General features: G+C 43.8%; 1 protein-coding gene across 7 annotated transcripts in view, besides 4 other annotated features; it reads left to right on the top strand.

The window, feature by feature from the left end:
• The window catches only part of STK32B (serine/threonine kinase 32B), a 481,604-nt gene that overhangs the window by 178,146 nt on the left and 280,425 nt on the right, over window positions 1-23,033 (top strand). The gene's annotated exons all lie outside the window — the stretch shown is intronic.
• Window positions 1,306-1,806: an enhancer, noted in NCBI's record as "OCT4-NANOG-H3K4me1 hESC enhancer chr4:5200564-5201064 (GRCh37/hg19 assembly coordinates)". NCBI's record gives its function as "activates a minimal SCP1, AML or CMV promoter by ChIP-STARR-seq in naive H9 embryonic stem cells {active_cell/tissue: H9 hESC(naive)}" and the evidence as "EXISTENCE:reporter gene assay evidence [ECO:0000049][PMID:30033119]".
• Window positions 7,626-8,126: an enhancer, noted in NCBI's record as "H3K4me1 hESC enhancer chr4:5206884-5207384 (GRCh37/hg19 assembly coordinates)". NCBI's record gives its function as "activates a minimal SCP1, AML or CMV promoter by ChIP-STARR-seq in naive H9 embryonic stem cells {active_cell/tissue: H9 hESC(naive)}" and the evidence as "EXISTENCE:reporter gene assay evidence [ECO:0000049][PMID:30033119]".
• Window positions 8,127-8,627: an enhancer, noted in NCBI's record as "H3K4me1 hESC enhancer chr4:5207385-5207885 (GRCh37/hg19 assembly coordinates)". NCBI's record gives its function as "activates a minimal SCP1, AML or CMV promoter by ChIP-STARR-seq in naive H9 embryonic stem cells {active_cell/tissue: H9 hESC(naive)}" and the evidence as "EXISTENCE:reporter gene assay evidence [ECO:0000049][PMID:30033119]".
• Window positions 20,871-21,165: a silencer, noted in NCBI's record as "tiled region #9083; K562 Repressive non-DNase unmatched - State 24:Quies". NCBI's record gives its function as "represses a minimal TATA promoter and a strong SV40 promoter by Sharpr-MPRA in K562 cells {active_cell/tissue: K562}" and the evidence as "EXISTENCE:reporter gene assay evidence [ECO:0000049][PMID:27701403]".

The following is a 23,033-nucleotide window of genomic DNA, read 5'->3' on the forward strand; positions in this document are numbered from 1 at the left end:
TGCTTAGTTCCTTATTTATCTCCACTAAAATGAATGCACTATTTCTGGGCTGCCAGATTTCATCACAAAGAATTCATTCAAGAAATATTGGTAGAAGGCATGAATAATTGAATGAATAGTTGAACATAGTCTGCTTTTGCAACAGTTATACCTCTTAACTAGTTCCCTTGTTTGGTACATTGATAATCTTTGGATGCTATCCTTTTATTCATGTTTTCTTAAGAGATTTTTATCTTTGGAAGTGATTTTGAATTTTATCAGAAGCTTTTTGAAAAATTATAAAAATGCTCAGATGTTTAGGTTCCTTGCTCTTCAATTATGGTTAATGACATTATTCAATTTATCAATAGTGAGCCATCCTGCCTGGAATAAGCCCCATTTATGTTTCATGGTAAAACATGTTTTCTGTTGTTTTTTTTTCCAGCAAATAATAATGATAATAATGAAAATATTTAGAATTCACTGCATTTTTTTTTCTGCATGTTAGTTTTTCTTCAAAATGCTTGAAATGTGCTATCTCATGCCATAGAAACTACCCCCTATGATGAACTGTTCTTATTTCATCAGAGTAGGAACTTCACAAAATCTATATAAAGTGAGGGCATGTTGCCTAACAATGGATACTTCTCAAAGTTAGCTATTATTATGATGAGCAAACTTTGTCTGCATCCCTGATTATCTGCATAGAATATAAATGTCTAGATGTCAGCCAACACTCTATCAAAAAACTTTTGAAACATACTGTGAAATTGCATTTCAGAATTTATACCACTTGACACGCCACCTGTGGAAATGCCTCTTTGACCGCCTTTTCACCAACTAATTTGTAATCTGATGGGGCATGGTGGTGGGAAGGTGGTAGCTTATACTTGTTTTAATACGTGTGCCTTTGATTCCCAATAATACTAATAATTTTTTTCAGAGGATTAATGGTCATTTGTTCAACCAATGCTTTCTGCATGAATGTTCGAGTTGGGTACTGAAGGACAAGGGGAGAAAGCTGCTATGCTTCGCCATCTGGGGGAGTTGGTCTGTCTGGTAGGAGAGAAGGGTAGAAATGGACCCCTCTCACTCTCTCTGCAGCATATTTAGGCCCACGGCCCACATGGAATCCTGGTGATCCATGGGGTGGTGATGCCACACTCCCTCTTTAGGCAGGATTTCAAGAGGCAGATAAAGGAGGAAGGCGGCACCTGGCAGACGGCTAGACTTGCACAAAGGTCTGGGAGCTTGGCCTTCATGCTCTACTGCATCCAAACATTGTGTCCTCATGTCACATTTCGGTGGCACTGGTTGTGTGGCAGTCACAATGGCAGTTCTTTGTGTCAGGCTGACTTAAAATCCCTGCTGCGCACAGTGTTTATACAGAGGTGGCTGATCCTGTCTTTCCTTCCTAATTATGTACTTTTGTATGAGGTGCAGTGAAAGGAAACATCAGCCTAAGCCACTCTGACAATTTCCATTTTGTCCACACCCTTCAGGTCTGTACTGAAGGTAATGAGATTTCTGATGAAGCACAACTCATTCCCAGGTTTTGCATGTGGAGGTTAATCTCGGGGAGTCCTAGGCATTACAGAGATCCTTTACAGGACATTATAAAGCAGATTGGTGACCGAGGCTGCCCTTCTCAGCCACAATTCCAGCTAAAGGTACACATAAAATGAGTATTACTTTAATTGAACATGCACGGTGGTTGTTTGTACAGAAGCAAGCCAAGCAAGGCAGGCTTGTGCATCAACATTGTGCAGAAAGTAGAAGGACTAATAAGGTGTAGCCAGGAGTGGTACTGCAGGACCACAGGGACCTATTGTAATGAATATGTTAAGTGCTTGTCATTAGCATATCTTTGTTGCTATGTGACCATGAATTCCTGAATATTTGAAAACCTATTGGTGCCTTATGTGGCTTTGAACTGTTGCCTTCAATCTTGCTTACATTATAAATCAGCTTTGTGAATGCTGTTTTTTTTTTTTTGCATCTCTGAATCACTGCATGTTCCACATTAGTGAAGCCCACCTTGATAAGATTGTATTCTATGTCTTTAAATTAAATTTTCTTTTCACTTCTCTTTGGTTTTCTAATTTGACTAAGGTTTAAAATGTTATTAAGTTAGTTAACCTCACTTTGTGCTTCATAAACTCTGGCCTTTTTGTAGCCTCCAACACCAGATGGTTTCTTATAATTGTCCAGGTCTTTAAATGTGCTGTACATTTTCCTAAATGTTCTCCCACCCCCGCCCACCTGGTGAACCCCCACTTACGCCACAAAACCCTGCCCTCTGCTCGTCTGTGAAGCCTTCCCCACTCCCACCTGAGGAATGCCATTTTTGAATTGAGTGATTGAGGGAAATACTGCTTTTCCTGGGGAACTAGAATGCTTCATACTTTCTGATAATGAATATGTTTGTGTCTGGCTGTGTCAGTCTTCTTCCCTCTGGTTGAATGGAAGCTCAGGGCTAAACCACTTTAGCGAGGTCATGAGGTGCTGTAGGAACAAAGGCCCCACCACAGGCAGCCTGAATGTGACTCTGGGGTCACTAGCTGCCAGGCCTCAGACAATCTGTTAAGTCTCAGTTTCATCATCTGTCAAATGGGAATAACGTCTAGTTCTTACACTCAAAATGTGTGTTATTGAATCAAGCAATGCCCAATTACTCTTAACAGGTTGAAGTATCTCAGTATATACACTGCCTGCTTTGTTTTTGATCTGCACTCTTCTGCTCTTTTTTTTTTTTTTTAATTGCCTTGCTCTCTACTTGACATTATAATTCCTTGGTCCAAAATCTCTATTCTTATTTTTATCCTCATTTTGTTTTCTATATTTACAGTGTAAGCCACCTAAAGTCATTTGCTGAACTGGCCGAGATATACTGAAATAAGTGACTCTATTTTTAAAATGGTGTTGAAAGTCCCCAATGTTGTTTGCCAGGGAGTCGTGGCTCCCAGTTGCTCCCACATGCTCCCCTTCTCCTCCAGGTCCAGGACAGTAGAGCAGGCCCACAGGGATCGTGCGGCAGATGGGAGGGAGAGCACGGCTTTATTAGTATATTGGCAAAACTCTCATGCCTCATTGCACTGTTCTGCCAAAAGCAGGTTTGAAAAACTAGGCTTAGGCTCAAGGCCAAAATGGAAACTTCTTCCTCCAGCTTAAATCTAGTTGCAGGGATCCAGGGACCCAGATGTAGCTATAGAGACAGGAAAAGTCATGGCAAGTGGCCACTGAATGTACTCACCCAAACAGATTTCACCAAGCATCACATCAATGGGGAAGCCTTACAGACTCCAGGTCATGGGTCCCCATTCCTCAGGTTTCCATTAATCTGTGACTAAGGTTCAGGCATCAGTACTTGGAAAGCTCCCCAGATGGTTCCATGATGTAGCCAGGGTTGAAACCTTGAAGCCACTGAGCCCCTCAACAGACAGGTGGTACTTATTGGATGGGCGGAGGAAGCAGAGGCCAGGCCTCTCAGAACCCTGTAAATGAAGAAATAGCTGGCAAGAAAATGCAGCAACAAATGGATTTTTAAAGCAGTTGCCCCACTCAGTAGTAAAACATGGCTCAGCAATGGAAAGTCAGGCTCTGATCAGTTGAATGGGTCTCTCTTCCTTTGTTTTGGGAGATGTGAGTGAATGAGAAGGAGAGAGATCAATTATGTTCTTAGCAATATTCTGGAGTGAGGAGGGGCAAAGGATCTCTCCTGTGCCGAAAGTCAGTGTTGCTCACAGACAGTCCTGTGTCCTTGTCCCTTCTCCTGTTTCTGGGGGTGTAGTGAGCATCCTGCAGCCCCATTTGCCCTGGGAGACCTCAGCCCTGCAGGTTTCCATGGGGCCGGACAGGTTCGCGCAGGACTGCCACAGTATAGGCACAACCGTGGAAGCTTCCAGCTCAGCGTCTTGCTTCAGGAAATGTTTCTTTTGATATCCATACTCAGATCAGTGATTGAGGGATGAGTTGCACTCCCCAGCTAATTGTATCCCACTCTGAAAGAAAGGAGAAGAGCAGAAAAAGGAAGCAAAGTGCTCCGGTTCAGGACATGTATTAGTTTGTTCTCACACTGCTATAAGGAGCTACCTGAGACTGGGTCATTTATAAAGGAAAGAAGTTTAATTGACTCACAGTTACACATGGCTGGGGAGGCATCAGGAAACTTACAATCGTGGCAGAAGGTGAAGGGGGAGCAAGGCACATCTTACATGGTGGCAGTAGGAGAGAGAGCCAAACACTTTTAAACCATCAGATCTCCTAAGAACTCACTCACTGTCTCGAGAATAGAATGGGGTAAACTGGTCCCATGATCAGATCACCTCCTCCCACCAGGTCCCTTTGTCGAAACGTGGGGATTACAATTTGAGATGATATTTGGGTGGGGTCACAGAGCCAAACCATATCATTCTGGCCCTGGCCCCTCCCAAATCTTATGTTTTTCTCACATTTCAAAACACAATCACGCCTTCCCAACAGTCCCCCAAAGTCTTAACTCATTCCAGCATTAACCCAAAAGTCCAAATCCAAAGTCTCATCTGAGACAAGGCAAGTCCCTTCTGTCTATGAGCCTGTAAAATCAAAAGCAAGTTAGTTACTTCCAAGATACAATGAGGGTACAGGCATTAGGTAGATGTTCCTGTTCCAAGTAGGAGAAAATGGCCAAAACAAAGGGGCAACAGGCATGCAAGTCTGAAACCCAGCAGGGCAACCATTAAATCTTAAAGCTCCAACATAGTCTCCTTTCACTCTGTGTCTCACATCCAAGGCATGCTGTTACAAAGGTTGGGCTCCCAAGGCCTTGGGCCGCTCTGCCCCTGTGGCTTTTGAGGGTGTAGTCCCCATGTGACCCCACCCAAATATCATGGCTGCTTTCACAGGCTGGTGTTGAGTGCCTGCAGCTTTTCCAGGTGCACAGTGCTGGCTGTCAGTGGATCTACCATTCTGGAGGAAAGTGGCCCTTTCTCACAGCTCCGCTCGGCAGTGCCCCAGTGGGGACTCTGTGAGAGGGTCTCAACCCCATGTTTCTTCTCTGCATTGATTGCCCTAGTAGAGGTTCTCCATGAGGGCTCCACCACTGCAGCAGACTTCTTTCTGGACACCCAGGCATTTCCATACATCCTCTGAAATCTAGAGAGAGGTTCCCAAATCTCAACTCTTATCTTCTGCACACCCACAGGCCCAATGCCACATATAAGCTACCAAAGCTTGGGGCTGGCACCCTCTAAAGCTGCATGGCAGCCCCAGGTGTCATTGGTTCCATCCCCTCATGTCTGTAATTTCAGGAGTACCCTCTGGGAACTTTGGGTAAAATGTAACTATTGATGTGCATCTTGGAAGTGGATGACTGGGCATGGTGCCACATAAACATGGTGGGTGTCAACAGAAATAGCTTATTTATTAATATTAACCTCAGCTTAGAACACCTCCTGTGGGCAACAATACCTTGGTTTGGGAAGCAAATTCACAGTGTGGAATTATGGAAAGGGCTTGGATGTTGCCAGATGGGAAACCTGAAATGAAATCCCAGCTCTTCATCTTGGAAGCTTTGTGATCTTGGGCAAGTTAACCAACCTCTCTGGCTTCAATTTCACTCTTCTCTAAAAAGATGAAGGTATTTCTTGTTGCTGTAATGAGTAAATAAAATAATGTATAAATAGTGCAGCCTACTTAGGACACAAGTGCTTAACAAAAGAGCATCCCCCATCTCATCTTTCTCAAATGCACCTTTTTAGATTTTCTTTTGATGATTTCCCTCCAGAGGAATTAAATTACTGAAATTTTTGTTTCTGACGTTCATTCATTCATCTTCTCATTCATTCATTTAATAAACAATTTTTGCCCATTCTATTCCCCTTCCCTCAAATGCAGCTCTTTCCCCTCCACACCCACTGTAGCTGTGTCTCCTTTACATGTCTCTTTTTTCAAAAAGCAGCTGACCACCCATTTCCTGGCCCCACCCCTCCCACATTCTTCCAGCACATGCTCCTGTCTCCCTTGTAGTGCTGAGCACTGCTGTGACTGTACAGGGGTTGGGCCCTGCTTTTGATTAGTGCCTGTTTCTTATTGTGAGTTCCAAGAGGACATGTTCCTTTTACTCTGTTATGTCCTCAGTGCCTACCATACTGCCTGATACGGCGCACAGTACTCAATCATTATTCACTGCAACCTAGAAGTTCTCCTTCCTAATTTTGTTGTCATTCCTAATTTTTCTATTCCAACCCAAATGCCTCAGATCATTCCTTTGCTTCCGTGTGCTCACCTCCCCCAGCTTCGTTATGCTTCACCTCCAAGAGCGATCACTTAAACCTACTTCAGGGGCCCGCCCTTGCACTCCTGCAGAGATGCAAGTGCCTGGGAATTCACACACCCCTCCCAGGTGGCCCCATAGCCAGTGACTGGTGGGCCCAGAACTGTGAGAGCCCAGCTGTCTTGCATTGAGGTACGAAGTCATAATGCATTCTCCATAGCACAAAGTCATAATGCATTCTCCAGAGCACCTGGTTTGATCAGGCTGAGGCTGGGTCTTGCTTGACACCACACTGTAGCTTCTTTTCCCTGCTGGTCTTCAGGAAGCACTCCTTAATAAATTGCTTGCAGATGAAGCCTCATCTCAAAGTCTGCATCTGGAAGAACTCAACTAAGAAAGCTGCACTTTCGAAAGAGCAGAATCGTGGGTAGAATTGTATTAATAGATCTCTCGAGCTGGCTGGAGTCCTACAGGTTAACTAGAGATCTCCATGATTCATTTATTGAACATGTGTTCTGTGCTGGGACTGTGCTGGGCTGCAGATGGGGAAACTGAGGCTCAGATAAGGGAAGTGGTTTGTCTGGGGTCACAGAACATGTGAGGGACAGTGACAAGACAACAGAGTGTCCTGGGGTTTTTTGTTTGTTTGTTTTTGTTTTTTAGGTTTTTTTTGTTTGTTTTTGTTTTTTAGGTTTTTTTGTTTTGTTTTGTTTTGTTTTGTTTTGAGACAGAGTCTCACTCTGTTACCCAGGCTGGAGAGCAATGGCATGATCTCGACTCACTGCAATCTCCGCCTCCTGAGTTCAAGTGATTCTTCTGCCTTAGCCTCCTGAGTAGCTGGGACTACAGGTGGCTGCCACCACACCTGGCTAATTTTTGTATTTTTAGTAGAAATGGGGTTTCACCATATTGGCCAGGCTGGTCTTGAACTCCTGACCTTGTGATCTGCCCGCCTCAGCCTCCCAAAGTGCTGTGATTACAGGTGTGAGCCACTGCTCCCGGCGTGTCCTGGGTTTTAAGCAAAATATAGTCTCAGCTCTGGTTCTTCATCCTCCCTTATGGACCACTCGTGGGGAGGGGCTCTCAGGGCTCCTGCCTCTTTGCCTCTTGATGGCTAATTTTTTCTATCAACTTGACTGGTCTACAGATTGCTGCAATAGCTGGCAAAATCATTTCTGGGTGTGTCTGTGAGGGTGTTTCCAAAGCAGATTAGCATTTGAATCAGTAGACTGAGTAAACAAGATTACTCTCCCCAGTGTGGGAAGTCATCATCTAATCCCTGGAGGGCCCGAGTGGAACAAAGAGCAGGAGGAAGAGCACATTTTCCCTCTCTTCTAGAGCAGGGACATCCACCTTCTTCTGCCCTTGGACTTTCAGAGCTCCAGGTCCTCAGACCTTGGGACTGGGACTTATATCATTGCCTCTCCTGGTCCTCAGGCCTTTGGACACCACTGGGACTTATGTCGTTGCCTCTCCTTTGCCCTCAGACTGAATCACAACACTAGCTTTTCTGGTGTCCAGCTTGCAGATGACAATGGTGGGACTATGGAGGCAGTACAATCTCCATAATCCTGTGAGCCAATGTCTATAGTAAATCTCTTGTATCTATGTATCTCTTACTGTTTCTGGTTCTCTGAAGGACCCTAACTAATACACCTCCCCTCCCTCATTCTCTCCAAAGACAAGGCAAGGTCCAGGGCACACAGAGACAGGGAGGAGGGGTTGTTCCAGTTTTCACTGACAGCGCTGTGGGTGTGTGGAGCCTGAGGGCCTCCCTGGCTGGCTTCTCTCAGTCTCCCCAGGCTCTGGCTGTGGCAGATACGGTTTTCCATCTTGGTTGAGCTGTAATTTCAGAGATTTGGGGTTGAAGGGGTAGCAGTGACAGAGGAGTGAGTGAGTGAGGTGGCAGAGGTTGACAGTTCTAGACCAGGCGCGCGCGCGTGTGTGTGTGTGTGTGTGTGTGTGTGTGCATTTAGGATTGTTTGAACTGTGTAAGCCTGGGATTGGGCAATGCCCATGTTCTATACTCTGGGCCTTGGGGAGATATCTGTTCTTGCCTTGGGGGAATTCTCTTTCACCGATTCTCATCTCCCATCCTCCTTGCATCTCAGGTTACTGGGACAAAAGGTTAGGGCAGGATCCTGGGCCAAAGGAATGGAAGATACTTTAATTAGTCCACTTGGGCTGCCTCTACCAAGGTCAAAAGGAATATTCTTGGCACCAGGTGCCCTAGCCCAGTCCAGTCAATGTGGGGCCAAGACTTTCCAGCTGGAAGTTGAACCAAAAATCTTTATAGTACTACACCAACAGATTTGGTCTAGAGTGTCCCCTTTGCTATTTCCTTCTCAAGCCTGTGACAGTGATAGAGAAGTAGTTATGGGTCATAGTCAAATATCTTTCTATGTCATCATACCCAGCAAAAAGGCAAAAACCACAAATAACCCTTAGAAGCTAATGAAAGTGATGACTGTCTTCTCTTAGGATAATTAATCAGAATCTTCCTTTTCACTCCTGATTCCCCTCCACAGTAGGATGGTCCTAGGACAGGCAGTGGCTTCCATGGGAGGGTATTTGCAGGAATATCCCACTAAATATTCAACTTTAAATATCCTCCACTGTTTCCCACTGCTCTGGAGAGCCTCCATACCCCTCGGAAACAATAACGTGGTCAAGAGTTTATGGCGGTTATTGCATGGAGAGATCACAGCAATCCCCCAGTCTTGAGCTAATGACAGAGGCGTGACTTCTTCCAACAACAGTCATTACCTCTCAGTAGTGGTGGCTGCTGGCTGGCGAGAGAGTGCCTGGCAGATGGATAGGCCGATGAATGGAGGCCTCAGTAATTGAAATGACGAATGATGAGTCATGCACACACAAGCAGAGTGGGAGTAGCTGCGGAGGGGGATATGAAAAGGCCCATCTGCAAAACATTTCCATAAACCCAGATCTGTTTCTGCTGAAGTGAGACAGCATCTGCCAGAACCATTCTGCACCCACGAAGACAAAGACACATCCAAGAAGGAGCCTGCCCCGGGGTCTGGGAGAGAACAAGTTCAGGGCTGGGGTTTGGGCCTGGAGCACCTCCATCTTCTCTCCTACTTATGCAAATCATTATTTTCTCTTTAACTCCTTCTGTATCATTCTTCCCACCCAAAGTGCCATTCCAGACTCATCCTGTTCTTGACCCAATTGTTTCTGAACTGCTTTAGATGCTTCTGGGCTTTATTAGTCTTTGTGGGGTCAGCAAACTATGGCTCATGGGCCAAATCTGGAGTGCCATACATTTTAGTAAGTGGAGTCCTGTTGGAACACAGTCACACGCCTTCATTTATGTATCTTGTGTGGCTGCTTCTATGCTGCCATGGCAGTGTGGAACAGCCGGGACAGAGACAGGATGACCCACGAGCCTGAACGAATTCCTTCTGAACTGTATTCCTCTGCATCCACCCTAACACTGTGATATGGTTTGGCTGTGTCCCTACCCAAATCTCATCTTGAATTTTAGCTCCCATAATCCCCATGTGTCATGAGACGGACTCAGTGGGAGCTAATTTAATCATGGAGGCAGGTTTTCCCGTGCTTTTCTCGTGATAGCGAATAAGTTTCATGAGATCTGGTGGTTTTATAGTTTTATAAAAAGCAGTTCCCTTGCACGTGCTCTCTTGCCTGCCACCATGTAAGACGTGACTTTGCTCCTCCTTCACCTTCTGCCATGATTGTGAGGCCTCTCCAGCCATGTGGAACTGTGAGTCCATTAAGCTTCTTTTTCTGTATAAATTACCCAGTCTCAGGTATTTCTTCATAACAGTATGAAAATGGACTAATACACCCTGTGACACCTGTCCCAGTCCGCGAGGGTGGCAGAGACCAGAGAGGGAAAATATTATTTTCTCAAAAATGCAGTCTCAGATGCAGTCTCAGACACTTTCTTAATGCTCCAGCATTTTTTTTCTTAAGAAAGTGTCTGAGACTGCAGCTGAAAAGAAGAAGGGTCCCTCATTGGCAAAGAGGACTGTGATCACTTTTTGCTGCCTGCTTTGAGAGTTCCAAGATGAAGTTGCATGACCTGTGTCATATGTTTGTTTTTTCTCTTCTGGACATTTCAGTTTATTACTTTTATTTTATTTTGCTTTTCCTCTCTTTTTAACATCCACATTTCCTTCTCTGTACATTTATTCACAAAGGAAACATTTTCTGGTTTGATGTTGTGTTACAGGCATGGCTGTATCTATCAGTCAGGATGGGCTAAGCTATGCTGCAGTAAAAAACAACCCCCAGTTTTCAATGGCTTAAAAGAACAGAGGTCTCTTTCTTGTTGGATATACTACAGTGTGTCCAGCCTGGACTGGGAGAAGGCTCTGCTCACCAGGTGATTCAGGATTGTAGGTTGATGGTACCTCTTGAGCCCTGACCATGTGAGGGCCTGAGGGAAAGGGAACTCAGCCCAGAAGTGGCTCACACCCATTTATTTTCCCCATCAGTTAGTTACATGGCTTCCTCCAGCCACAGGGAGTCAGAAAATAAATTTCTACCCCTTGCCTAGAAAGGAAGGAGCGCCGGATATTGCTGAGTAGAATGATTGATCATCAAACACTGGTGCTATGGAAGTAAATAAGAACAAACCATGGTCTGGGCTCTGGAGGAGAACCAAGTCTCATATATGATTTATTGAGTTCTTACTGCATATACAACACTTTGTAGTTGTTATGGCATTTGATCTTCACATTAGTCATGAGAAGTTTTCTAACTTCAATTTCAGGGCAGAAAACTTAGTCCTGGCAAAACTAAATGACTTTATTAACATCACTCAGCTGGTAGGACTTGAAGGCAAAATTCTGGCTTCAAAGTATGAGCTCTGTATGGTACCCCAAGGACTCATATCTCCCTGCTTGAACCTTGGATTTCCACCCATGTCATCCTCAATGCCACTGATAAACACGGTAGTCTCGGGGTCTCTTAGATATTCTGGGTAGGGAAGAATTCAATGATCGCCCCATGGTGGGAAGGGAAAAGATGAGAGATTAATTTGGGTAAATCCATTCTGGCTTGATTCACCCAAATCAAGCCCATCTGGTAGATATGATTATTTTGTCTTGTGTCAGATAAATGATCACGATGCCTGACAAGCAATCTTCATAAAACTTCATTCTTTATAAACCTTTTCCCTGCTCAGTGGGCTTCATCAGTGATTCCTTATTGCCTTCAGGAAGAAGTCTAGTTTTCTTTGATTTTCAAAGTCCTGCCCAGTTGGGCACATGCCCCTCTCATGGCCCCTTTTCCTTGTCCAGTGTGCTCTGTCTGGAGCTTCCATCCCAGCTGCCTCCCCCTCAGCACTTCTGCACATGGAGAGATTCAGGTAACAGAAAATTGTGAGTATGGACTAACATATTAACAGTAGGGTGGGTGAAGAGGGAGAGATATCGGAAGACTTATGTGTCAGGAAATAGAGTTTACATTTCTTTTTTTTCTTTCTTTTGAGACAGGGTCCTGCTCTGTCACCTGTGCTGGAGTGCAGTGTCACAATCACAGCTCACTGCAGCCTCAAAATCACAGGTTCAAGTAATCCTCCCACCTCAGTCTTTCAGGTAGCTGGGACCACAGGCATGTGCCACCATGCCTGGCTAATTTTTTTGTATTTTTTGTAGAGATGGGGTGTTGCTATGTTGCCCAAGCTGTTCTCAAATACTTAGGCTAAAGTGATCTTCCTACCCTGGTCTCCCAGAGTGCTGGGATTATAGGTGAGAGCCACTGTGCCCAGCCTAGAGCTTACGATTTCTTGAATGGGGCAACCAGTGGTCAAAATTCTGAAGACAGTGAAAGGAAGAATAGTGTGCAAGAGAGTAACTCCATGAAATTGCTTTATCCCCTCAACTGAACTGAATTGATAATGATGATGTTAGAATCCCAGCAGCTGCCATCTACACCAAGCACCTCTGTGCTGGTCTCTGTGTTAGATCCCTCATGAACATTATCTCACCTAATTATCATAAAGTGCCTGGGCCTAGGAAGCGTTTATAATACCACCATTGACATTTGAGAAAGTAGGTTGGATACTTTAACAACCTTGTCCAAAACTGCAACATCGAAAAAAAACAGAATCAGGATATGGCCCCCCAACTGTCTACTTCCAAAGCCTAGATTGTTTCCTCTATACCACTGCATCTTCAAGGGCAATAGATTTCCTGTTGCTGACACAGGGATTTAGGTCAAATATGTGAATTTCTAGAGGCCAACTGCCTGATTTGGATGTAACAGCACAATTCCTGGAAGGCTTAAATTGTGCGTCATTGAAGCTCTTCCATTGGAAAGTTGAAATGTCAAACACACACCCACAGCTCAGCACATATGCAATTCAGGAGCCATTTCCTTGAAACTAGCATCTTGTTACAAAGGCATAATGTTGAAGACTGAATCTCCAGCCTGTGTGTGCTACATGTCCTCTTCCCCTTGTCTTTCTCCTCCTCCTCCTCTTTCTTCTTCTTCTTCTCCTCCTCCTCCTCCTCAAGGCTTTCCATATGAGGTCTCTCACCCACTGTTCACACCTTACCCACCTGACCTTCTGCCCTTCCCCATCTCCTCGGGCCATGCACAACAGCCTGGGCCTGGTGTTCCCAGTCTTCTTGCCCTTCTTTGTCCCTTTTCGTCCATCCATCTCTGCACATTCACAGCATAGCTAGTCTTTCATCAGTATCACAGATAATTCATTTTCCTTGAAGACTTTTCTTGTCCTGCCCTCACCGAAGACAAACCTGCACTGTTGTACTTTGTGTCCTCTTATGGTGTGCATTATGAACTCTACTTGTGGGCTTATGTCTGTGATTCCCTTACTAGACTTCAAATTCCATGAAGGCAGGGACCAGGTGTGAAGTCCACTGTTATGAGCCCTGCCCTAGAGAAGGCATTGGCAGGCATTCAAAAACAGATAAATGGGCATTTAATCTATTTTAAAATCTATTCCTTGGAACACTTACAGTATAGTTGCAAAAGTGTTTTCTATCCAAATATTGGTGAAGTAAATTAAGTTTTAGAAATACTTTTTTTTTTTTTTTTGAGACAAAGTCTCCCTCTATGCCCCAGGCTGGAATGCAGTGGTGTGATCACAACTCACTGCAGCCTTGACCTCCTGGGCTCAGGTGATCCTCCCACCTCAGCCCCATGAGTAGCTGGGACTACAGGTATGCACCATCATGCCTAGCTAATTTTTAAATTTGTGTAGAGATGGGGTCTAACTAGGTTGCCTAGGCTGGTCTCAAACTCCTGAGCTCAAATGATCCTCCCACTTTAGCCTCCTAAAGTGCTGGGATTACAGGTGTGAGCTACCATGCCCTACCAGAAATACTTCTTATATCCCCTGTCTTGAAGAGTCCCGTGAATAGTGGCATACCAAAAGCTCTGAGAATTCCTTCAGTAAAGAACTTCATTTTCACTTTTTAAACTAGTAAAAACCAAACTTATTTGTCTATTAGCATGCTTTTCCACAAATACACATTACTCCTCAGAACTCTTCCCTAGGTGTGCTGTAAGAAATTAAGAAGACAAGGCCTTCCTGGTCCAAGGCTAATGGAAAAGATTTGTAATTCTGGGAGAGAGAAATAGGGAAAGAGTGGGATCTTGAGCTTCCTGGCAGTACAGCTACCACTTGGGGAGAAATAGCAGTATCAGGAGCCCCCAGAGGTAGTCTTGTCAACAATGGGATGACCAGAAGAGTTACTTCTACAAGGAAAGAGCCAAACCACTGGAGGTCCCCAGGAGGACCAGGGGGAAAGCACTTGTGTGTGAGTCTGGGACTCTGTCCAGGGAGGTAGGACTAGGGGAGGAGGGGGGATGGAAGCTTATTTGCTTGCGGAATAAGAGGCTGTGAAATGTGGCCCATCTCCTCCCTGCCAGCCTTCTCTCTTCTGTTAACTCACCATGTGCAATGACCCCATGAGGTCAGCATCATCCTCTCTGGGGAAGAAAGAACAAACACAAACAAGCAAACAAACAATCTTGCTTCACAGAGTAAAATGCACATTTGTTCATTTGAAAAGTAAACAAACTCGCATTTTACACTGTGAATCACGCAAGCTCTAAAATGATCAAGCGACAAGTCTCTCTGATTTTGTTTTTACTTCAGTAAATGGGGCTTTTATAGTTCATTTTATAAACTGCTATTTATTGGGTATTTGCCATAGTATTTTATCTTCATGACAACGTTGAGAGTTAAGACTCACCAATGAAAACTGAAGCCGAGGGACTAACGGTAATTCATTCAACACTCGTGCAGCAAATAATTGTTTAGCTCCTACTGTGTGCCAGGTGCTATTACAGAGCAGGACACAGGCGATTTTATTTAATGGTCTTTTTACTTACTAATCTTTATTAAGCATTTACTGTGTGTCAGGGACCGCTCTGATGTTTTATACAGGCCATCATTTTTAATTTTCACAATTAGTAAGCAAGTAGATGTGATTATTATAGACATTTAGAAGGTGGGGAAACAGAGGCATAGCATGCAGAAAAACATGTCTAACATGACACAGCTACCAAAAGTCAGAACCAGGATTCAGACCCGAGCAGTCAAGGTTATTTGTGCAAGTAATATTCAGATGTGACACCTCTCAAAACAAGCAATTTTTCCCTACTGTCTGTGGGCTTACTGTCAGCCTTTTAAAGAGCTCTCAAAATGTAAGTCATGACTTTCTGCACTGAGGTGACTATGTGGATCATGTGAAGGGTACGAAAACCGGAGATAAACCGCAGTCCCCACAAAGGTTTTCCTGCAGAAGCACCCCATGGCTGCTTAATCAAAGCAAACTGGCACCTCGTGAAGTCAGAATGCCCTCCACATCCTGTGATTTCATCCAAACTTTCCAATTTTGTTATGTTAGCAAAGGCCACCAGGCAATTTCTCCCACATTTGTCATCGTCCCTTAAAACATTATATAATTGGAAGTTGCTGTGTTGGTGAGGGTAGGATGACATTTTATGTGCATTCAATTTGGACATAAGTGTCATATTTGCACGAGGTTGGGGCTGCTGGCTGTAAGTATAAAATTTCATGAGTGATGAGTTGGCCTGCAAGAGATCTCGATGAGTGAGAGGAAACACGCTTTTTATGACCCTGGCGGAGATAAATCAATGATCGCAGGCAGAAGGTCGACATCGTTTTTTTAAAATCAAGTGTCTGCTCTCTGCGCTTTCTGGTTCTGTCTCTACAGAATATATTCTCTGCATCCTATGTTCTAAAACTCAGATAAAACCTGATCAGCATGAATTCACTTAGTTGTATTTAAATAATATATACGTACATATAGATAATCTCGAGGAGCTGTTGTGCATTAGCACTGCTGTTTTCAGGACACTTTTAACCCATTATTGCTTTTCACTGTGATTTAATTCTGGGGCTGTTCTTCGATTCCTTCTTTTCCCTCATCCATCACCTCATTGAGTCCAAGAACAAATGCTGTTGGCCCTGACAGCTTCTGATTCTTCTACTCCTGCCACCAAGCTGCCATCAATCCTGTCCTGGGTTATGGTGGAAGCCGACTAATGATCATTTTGCTTTCATCCTTGTCTCATACAGTCTATTCTCCATACAGCTGCTGGGCTGAACTTCAAACAAGCTTAAGTCAGGCCATGCCCCACTTGTTCAAAGCCATCCAGAATGAAATCCAGATTCCTTTCTGTTGGGATTGGAGCCTAATAACTAAAACCCCACTTCCTTTTAGCTTCTCCAGCTTAGACACAGTTGAGAAATAAGACTAGAAGTGAAGCAGATAGAGATCAATCTATCACGTTTATTACTGGTGAAGAGGTTATTGATGAACACGGTTTGGGTGGCTTAGGAAATGGATTTCTTATATGCACCTTGATTAAACTTTTTCCCCTTTAGTAAAAACCTGCTTCTTTAAAATCACAAATACTTCCTTCTTAGCGAAGCTTCTTGTCTCATTTCTGATTGCAGCCCTCCCACCTATACTTAAGCTGTTTGCTCCTTTTTAAGAAGGTTGCCTTTTCCCTTATTGATTTATGGGGGGATTTATATGTGATGAATATCTTCTTGTAGTTTGTAGCTTGTATTTATACTTTATGGTGACTTTTGGTTAAAAAATGTTTCAATGAGATTAAATTACCAATTAAATTAAAGGTAGTGATTTTATGTCTGCTTTGAAAAACCGCTCCCAATCTTGAGGTCGCAGTGATATTTTCCTAAATTTTCTTTGAACAGTTTGAAGCTTGGCTTTTACCTATTTAAATTCAGGATTCTGTGCATGGTATGAGGTTCTGATTTTTGTATATGGTGACTGATATTGTTTGGCTCTGTGACCCCACCCAAATCTCATGTTGAATTGTAATTCTCATGTTGGGGGAGGGACCTGGTGGGAGGTGATTGGATCATGGGGGCGGGTTTCTCCCTTGCTATTCTCATGATAGTGAGTGAGTTCTCATGATATCTGGTTGTTTAAAAGTGTGTAGTGCTTCCTCCTTGGTTCTCTCTCCCCTGCTGCCATGTGTAAATGCGTTTACTTCTCCTTTGCCTTCCGCCATGATTGTAAGTTTCCTGAGGCCTCCCCAGCCATGCCTCCTGTAACAGCTTGTGGAACTGTGAGTCAATTAAACCTCTTTTCTTTATAAATTGCCCAGTCTCGGGTAGTTCTTTATAGCAGTGTGAGAACAGACTAATACAATAATGTGTAGGTCCAGGTTCATTTTGTTACTTATAGACAACTCACTATTCCAGCATGATTTATTGTAGACATTCATGGTCCCCAGGCACCTTCAGTGCCATCTATCATTTCCTTCTCTGGGTGGGTTTGTCTGTTCTGTTCCAATGCTCTATTTGTCCAACCCTGCACTACACACACACTATCTTAATTATTACAATTTGATAATAACACAAGAAACTTAAGAAGTTAAAAATCACTCATGATCTCATAATCTAAGGACTATCTCTGTCTCAATTTCTTTGGCATTTCCTTTTAGTCTTTTGCTTATTTTCAGAAGATACTGTATATACAGATTTGAATTTTCATTTTTCCTTAACATTATATTTTGGCACATATTGTCAAATGCTCCAAATTTTTGTTTTATTGTGAGAGAGGTATGAACAAAGTGTTAAAGTTTTAAGAGGAAGCAAGAGAGCATTTTTATCTTGGGAGAAATCTGAGATTTTGTGTCTCCAGACTATGTATTTTACGTAGGTATTTTCTTGTTGATAAATGAGCTGTGACAATACATGAAAAGAGATGGATCATTGCTTTTAAAAAACCGCACAAAGACATTGGGAATTGATGGATATATTGAAAATCTAAACATTGCTTTTCAAGTTTTTTAGATGGGAGCAAGCCATTTGCTAAATGGGATCTTTATTGAACTATTTCTCTGGGAACAAACAATGACATAAAAATATGTAGAATCCTTTCCCTTCTGCAGTGGGCCCAGAGCTCTGAGAACATAGTGTTTTAACTGGGTTCTAAGTCAGAAAGGAAATTTCTTGGAATCTGCAGGGACAGTGATGTGAACTGCAATTCTCAACAGTTAGTTGATGTGTTGCTTATGGTTGGTTGGGAGTTTAAAGATCTTTAGTCACTTCAATCAGATATCACATCTGATTTTTATCCCTAGTTTTACTGCAGGACTTCCAACATCATTTTGCCTCCAAATGAACCTATTCAGTCAGCTTCAGTTAAGAACTGGAGGGTAAACGCAGAAGGGGCACCTTTCACATGAGAACAATTTCCTTTTGATTTCCAATAGAGGCAGTGTCTCCTCTTTAAGTCTCCTGGAGACAGGGGCTTCTTTGTTCTGTCAAATGGCTTCCTGTTTGGAATTAACTGGGTTTTTTATTTACAGTCATTTATAAAATCCTTATTGCTTGGCTTCTGCTGGGACGAGATGGGGGAGTGTTAATGATTTTTGTCATATTTATGCAACATTAGATGTTGTTTAAACCAAAGCCACTCTGTGCTTTATTATAATCCTTTAAACCCTCAGAGCAGGCAAAATTGTGGAATCTCTAAGAGTCTTAGAGATGGATGGGAACTTAGACACAGCTCACCTTGCCTGACTCAGGACTCCCTTCTCCAGTGTTCAAGTCAATATCCATTGAGTGCTGCCTCTTGGCCAGAAGATGGACCTCCACAATTAGGTGCCTGTGGTGGTCTGCTCACTTTACTCAGTCTGTTTTGTTATAGAACTTTTTTAATTGTGAGAAAATCCTGCCTGTCCCTTATCCAAAGTTGGCCTGCAAAGAATGTCTACCCATTGATTCTAGTTTTGCTTTTTGTGGTTGCAGAGTGAAAGTCTTATCTATTAGACTGTGAGTGCCTTGATATTCTAGACTAGTGGTTCTCAAACCTCAGTGTGCATGAGAATCACCTGGAATGCTTGTTAAAGACCAGATCACTGGACCGCACCTCAGAGTTCCTGATTTAGTGGATCTGGGTTTGGAACTAGCGGACTTGCATTTCTAACAAGTCTCTAGGAAATGCTGATGCTGCTGGTCTGGGGAGCCACACTTTAAGAACTGCTGTTAAAGACCAAGATAATCCCTTTATCTTGGTACCAGGCACTTTGTTAGGGGCCAAGGATGAAGAAACAGACACAGCAGACACAGTGCTTACCCTCATGGAGCGTATGGTCCAGTGGAACTTACTGGACATACAAGCAAAGAAGTGAAGTGTTTGTTATGACAAACAGCAGTTGAGAAGCTCTGAGAATATAAAGTAGGAGAACTTATCTGGCATCAGGGTCTGAGTCAGGGAAGCTTTCTTGCAGAAACCTGAAAAATAGATAGGAGGAGTTTGTACGACTGAAAAGAGGAGGGTGGGCAGGGAGAGAAAGAAGCTCTAATGAGAACAGCATGGATGAGGACACTGCAGAGGGAAGATGGGCAGTGCAGTCTGTACAAGGCACAGAAAGACAGCCAGTGTGATGGATGTGCAGAACACAGCGGGGAAGGCTGAAGGAGCTGGAGGTGCCTTCTGAGCTAGCTTAAGAGGGTTGGGTTTGTACTTCCAGGTTAATAGGAAGCCATTAAAACCCCACCAGGTTTTAAACCAGGTGTGGTGGGTGTGATATGAACAGATTTGTTAGTTTATGAAATAAAGTCTTATTTGGCTCTGTTTCCAGTGACTATCATTGTAAGTATAAGTGCATGGAGGAGCTTAAGTGCTCTTTGCCTTGTGTATAGTGAGTGCTTGATAAATATTAATCACCTCACAAGGTGTGTATGTGAGTGTGTGTTGAACAAGGCAGCATTTTAGGCATCCATGTGTAGGTGTGTGCCAGTGACACAGGAAGTGAATACCTTAGGCTCAGCAAAACCGAACTTATGTGGTAGCATGGACTGCCAATGCTCAGCTTCCTTGAGGCCAATTATGCATTGCCTTGTGGGTAACACCATGGCTCTGGGCCCCTTATACAATACATAATTTGAATTATAGACTAAAATGATTTAGAGGAGGCATAATTTTTCATTATTTCAGGCTTAGAGGCAGGATTATGATTGACTGATGTAATTTAAAGTCCATAAAAATACCACTGACCTGTAGAACTGAAATATTTTCAGTTCTTCCTTGCCAGGAGGTCATTCTGCATTTTATGAGAAAGGAAGTCTGCAGAACAATGAAGGTGAAGGAGGCGGTGGGGGAGGATGCATTAAAAATGACATTGACCACAGATTTTGCTGTTATTGAAGTGATACAGGAATGCCAGTCCCCTTTTAGCTCATTAGCAGTTTTTGGAGAACATTGAGATTTGGAAAGAGAGAATGTACAAGTATGTTTAGGGCATTGGTTAACATATGGTTTCAATTACAAGATTTGGCCTTTGTATTTATGGGGAGTTGCTTAGGGCAGAACAAATATCATAGTCATACAATGTGGCATCCAAGAGCCATCTGACTTATTGTTTTAATAATTTGGAGAACGTAAGATCTCACCAACAGTGGGACTTGTCTCTTAAGTCTAATGTCTGGACTTGGGGAAGAACATTTGTCAGAGTCCCCAGTAGAAAGGGAGGAGGACTTGGGGATTTCTCATTCAGGAAGAGACAGTGGAAGGAACAAAAGTGTCAGCTTCAGTTAGCCCTTCATTTGAATGCTGGCTCTTGTTTATTGAGAAAATTAGTCTACCAGAACTATAGTGTTCTCATGCGGTGAAACTACTATGAACCTCACAGGATTTTGACACATAATGAAAATTATACATAGAAGGCCTCAGGCTTTCTAAGAATTCTTCTTAAAAGCTGTTATTATTATTATTACTCTTGGTATTTTTTTCCTGTATGATGTATCAGTGGGTCAAGTGCCTCATTACCAACCTTTCAGGACTCTTTAAATTGCTTACATCTATACACCTGCCATTCAAGATCCAGTCCTGGAAGTTATGCAGAGACACTTCTGCTGCATGCCACTGGTAACACAGGCTACTGGGCCGGCCAGACTCAAAGGGATAGTAAATTGATTCCATTTCTTGATGTGAGTAGTGGCAAAGAATCTTGCGGCCATCTTTCATCCACCAAGCTGATTTGTAGTTTTAAAAGATCACTCTGACTGTTATGTGGAAGATGGATTGAGATATGAAAGCAAGTAGCCTATTTAGGAAGTTTCTGTGATGGTGCAGGAAAGAATAACATCTTGGAATAGGCTTGTAATGAAGAAATGGAAAGTAGATACATTGCAATATATTTCAGATATATTTAGAGCTGACTAATGGATTGGTTCTTGAGGGTAAGACTGCACATTTCTTTGGCCAATTCCTGTAGTCAGGACTATAGCCTGAAAGGGGGAGGACATGGCTCCGGGACCCTACCGTCAAACTGCGTGCTTGGCTGGTTCTCATTCCAGACATGCTGGCCTCCTCATTCAAGTGCTAATTCCTTTTACAATTTCATAGGAGAGGTGAGGCGAGGTGGATTCCTTTAGCACCCGTTCTTGCTAGTCAGCCTTTCTCTGGAAAAGTTCTAAAAACTTAAACCAGTAACACATTCTTTTTCCTTTAAAATGCAGAGTAGAAGGTGGTTTCCTTGCTGGGCCAAGAAAACGGTCAAGTGTTCTCCTGCTTTTGGCGTGCTCTTGCCAGGCACGTGGCTTCTGGCTCTCCCGGCCGGCCTGGGAGCTGGGACTGGGCACCGCCTGCTCCCCTTTGACTGCCAGGCCCCTACTGGGCCTCAGGTGGCACAGGCCCCACTGAGCTTGTTTTCTCAGCCAGGCAAGGAGACTCATATTCCCAATGCTGCCCTCGGTACTCCAGACCAGCCCCAAATTGTGGGGCCTGGAGAGCCCCCTGGTTCACTTGGGTCCATTGATGGTGGACCTCACTGCTGTGTCTGTTGGCTCTGTGCCTTGTGAATGCTGCGTCTTTTTTCTGATGTCACTTAGCTTCTCCAAGGTGGAGTCTGACCAATGTTTCAACCCACGAGGGCTCTCAGCAGTCTGATTGAAGAATGGTTTTCCCCCTACACCCAGGAGGGGCCACAGTCTTGGGGCAGATGCTGGCCTCTGGAGGCCCTGGGTGGCCAGGCCCCCTCATGGGAAAGGACTGGGCATCCCTTTGGTGTGTGGAATTGGGACCTTCCAACTCCTTCCTGTAGAGGAACCCAGCAAACGTGGGCCTGACAACACTACATTTTTTTCGGGTTATCAGTTTAAAAGTTGGAAGCCCAGAAAAAGAGAAGAGCCTTGAGGAAGGTCAAGCTTTCCTTGTTGTGTTTTGCATGTTACTTAATTCACTCAGCTTGCTGAAGTTGGTGGTGTTTGTGAAGACAGACAGCAGAGGGTCACAGAGGTTGAGAACTTCACCAGGGTCACACAGCAGTGAGTGAGTATCAGGACAATCGGCCCAACTTCCGAGCTGATCCTCTGGGTGCCCTCCTCAGGGCAGTGCCTTTCAGGCCCTATGACCTTGACCCACAGTAAGAAGTCCCTGTTAGGGCTGGACTGGACCAGCACTTGACTGCGTACTTGTCATTGACAGCGGGGCTTCAGGAAGCAACCCCAGCTCACTACTCCACTGTGTGCACTGCCCCAGGATGCTGTCTTGTCTAATTCATTTGTCAGCATACGTTGGCCCTCAGGATCTGCAGGCTTATTTCTGTCACTAGCCGCTTTTTGGAGATTGTTGCTTTGGTGCAGGACTGGTAGGGAGCGGACCCTCTGGAACAGGACAGTGGTTGAAAGAATAAATGTGTCTGCAGGATAATTCATAGCTAAAGGCAGGATGGGAATGAACCCAAGTTTAAGGTTGTACAAACTTGCTGTAATTATAAGGCTGTGGGCACGTTCAATTTTATTGTACACACTAAAGCTTTTAATTTTGTTTGAAAGGAAAAAAAGACTGCAAACTCCAGTCTAAAGGATTTGAGGGATCCCTAATGTAAGTTTAGAGTCCCAACCAGAAGATGTACACCGAGTGTGCCTAGTAACCTTTAGAGCCATAGCATGTTCGAGAACTATCCAGGGTCCTGAAGCATTCACTCCGCTTTACCCATTTATCCATCCAGCAATCTCTGGCTTTGTGCCAGGCACGATGATACATACTAGTAGTATAAAGACCAGAAGGACAGGGTCCCAGCTCTCAATGAGATCACAGTACTTTTGTGATGATTGGCAAGAAATCCTAGGACAGTGTGATGAGTGCTAAGATAGAGAGTAGTAAACAAAGGGGACACCTAGGCCAGCATGAAGAGTTCAGATAAGGCTTCTGGATGAAATTGACCTTTGAACTGAATACTGAAGGATTAATGACAGGTGTCCAGGTTATAAAGAGTCAGGGAGAAGGTATTTCCTCCACAAACAGCTTGCAGTAACAAAATTATA

Source organism: Homo sapiens, chromosome 4, assembly GCF_000001405.40.
Source record: "Homo sapiens chromosome 4, GRCh38.p14 Primary Assembly".
Lineage (NCBI taxonomy): Eukaryota > Metazoa > Chordata > Mammalia > Primates > Hominidae > Homo > Homo sapiens.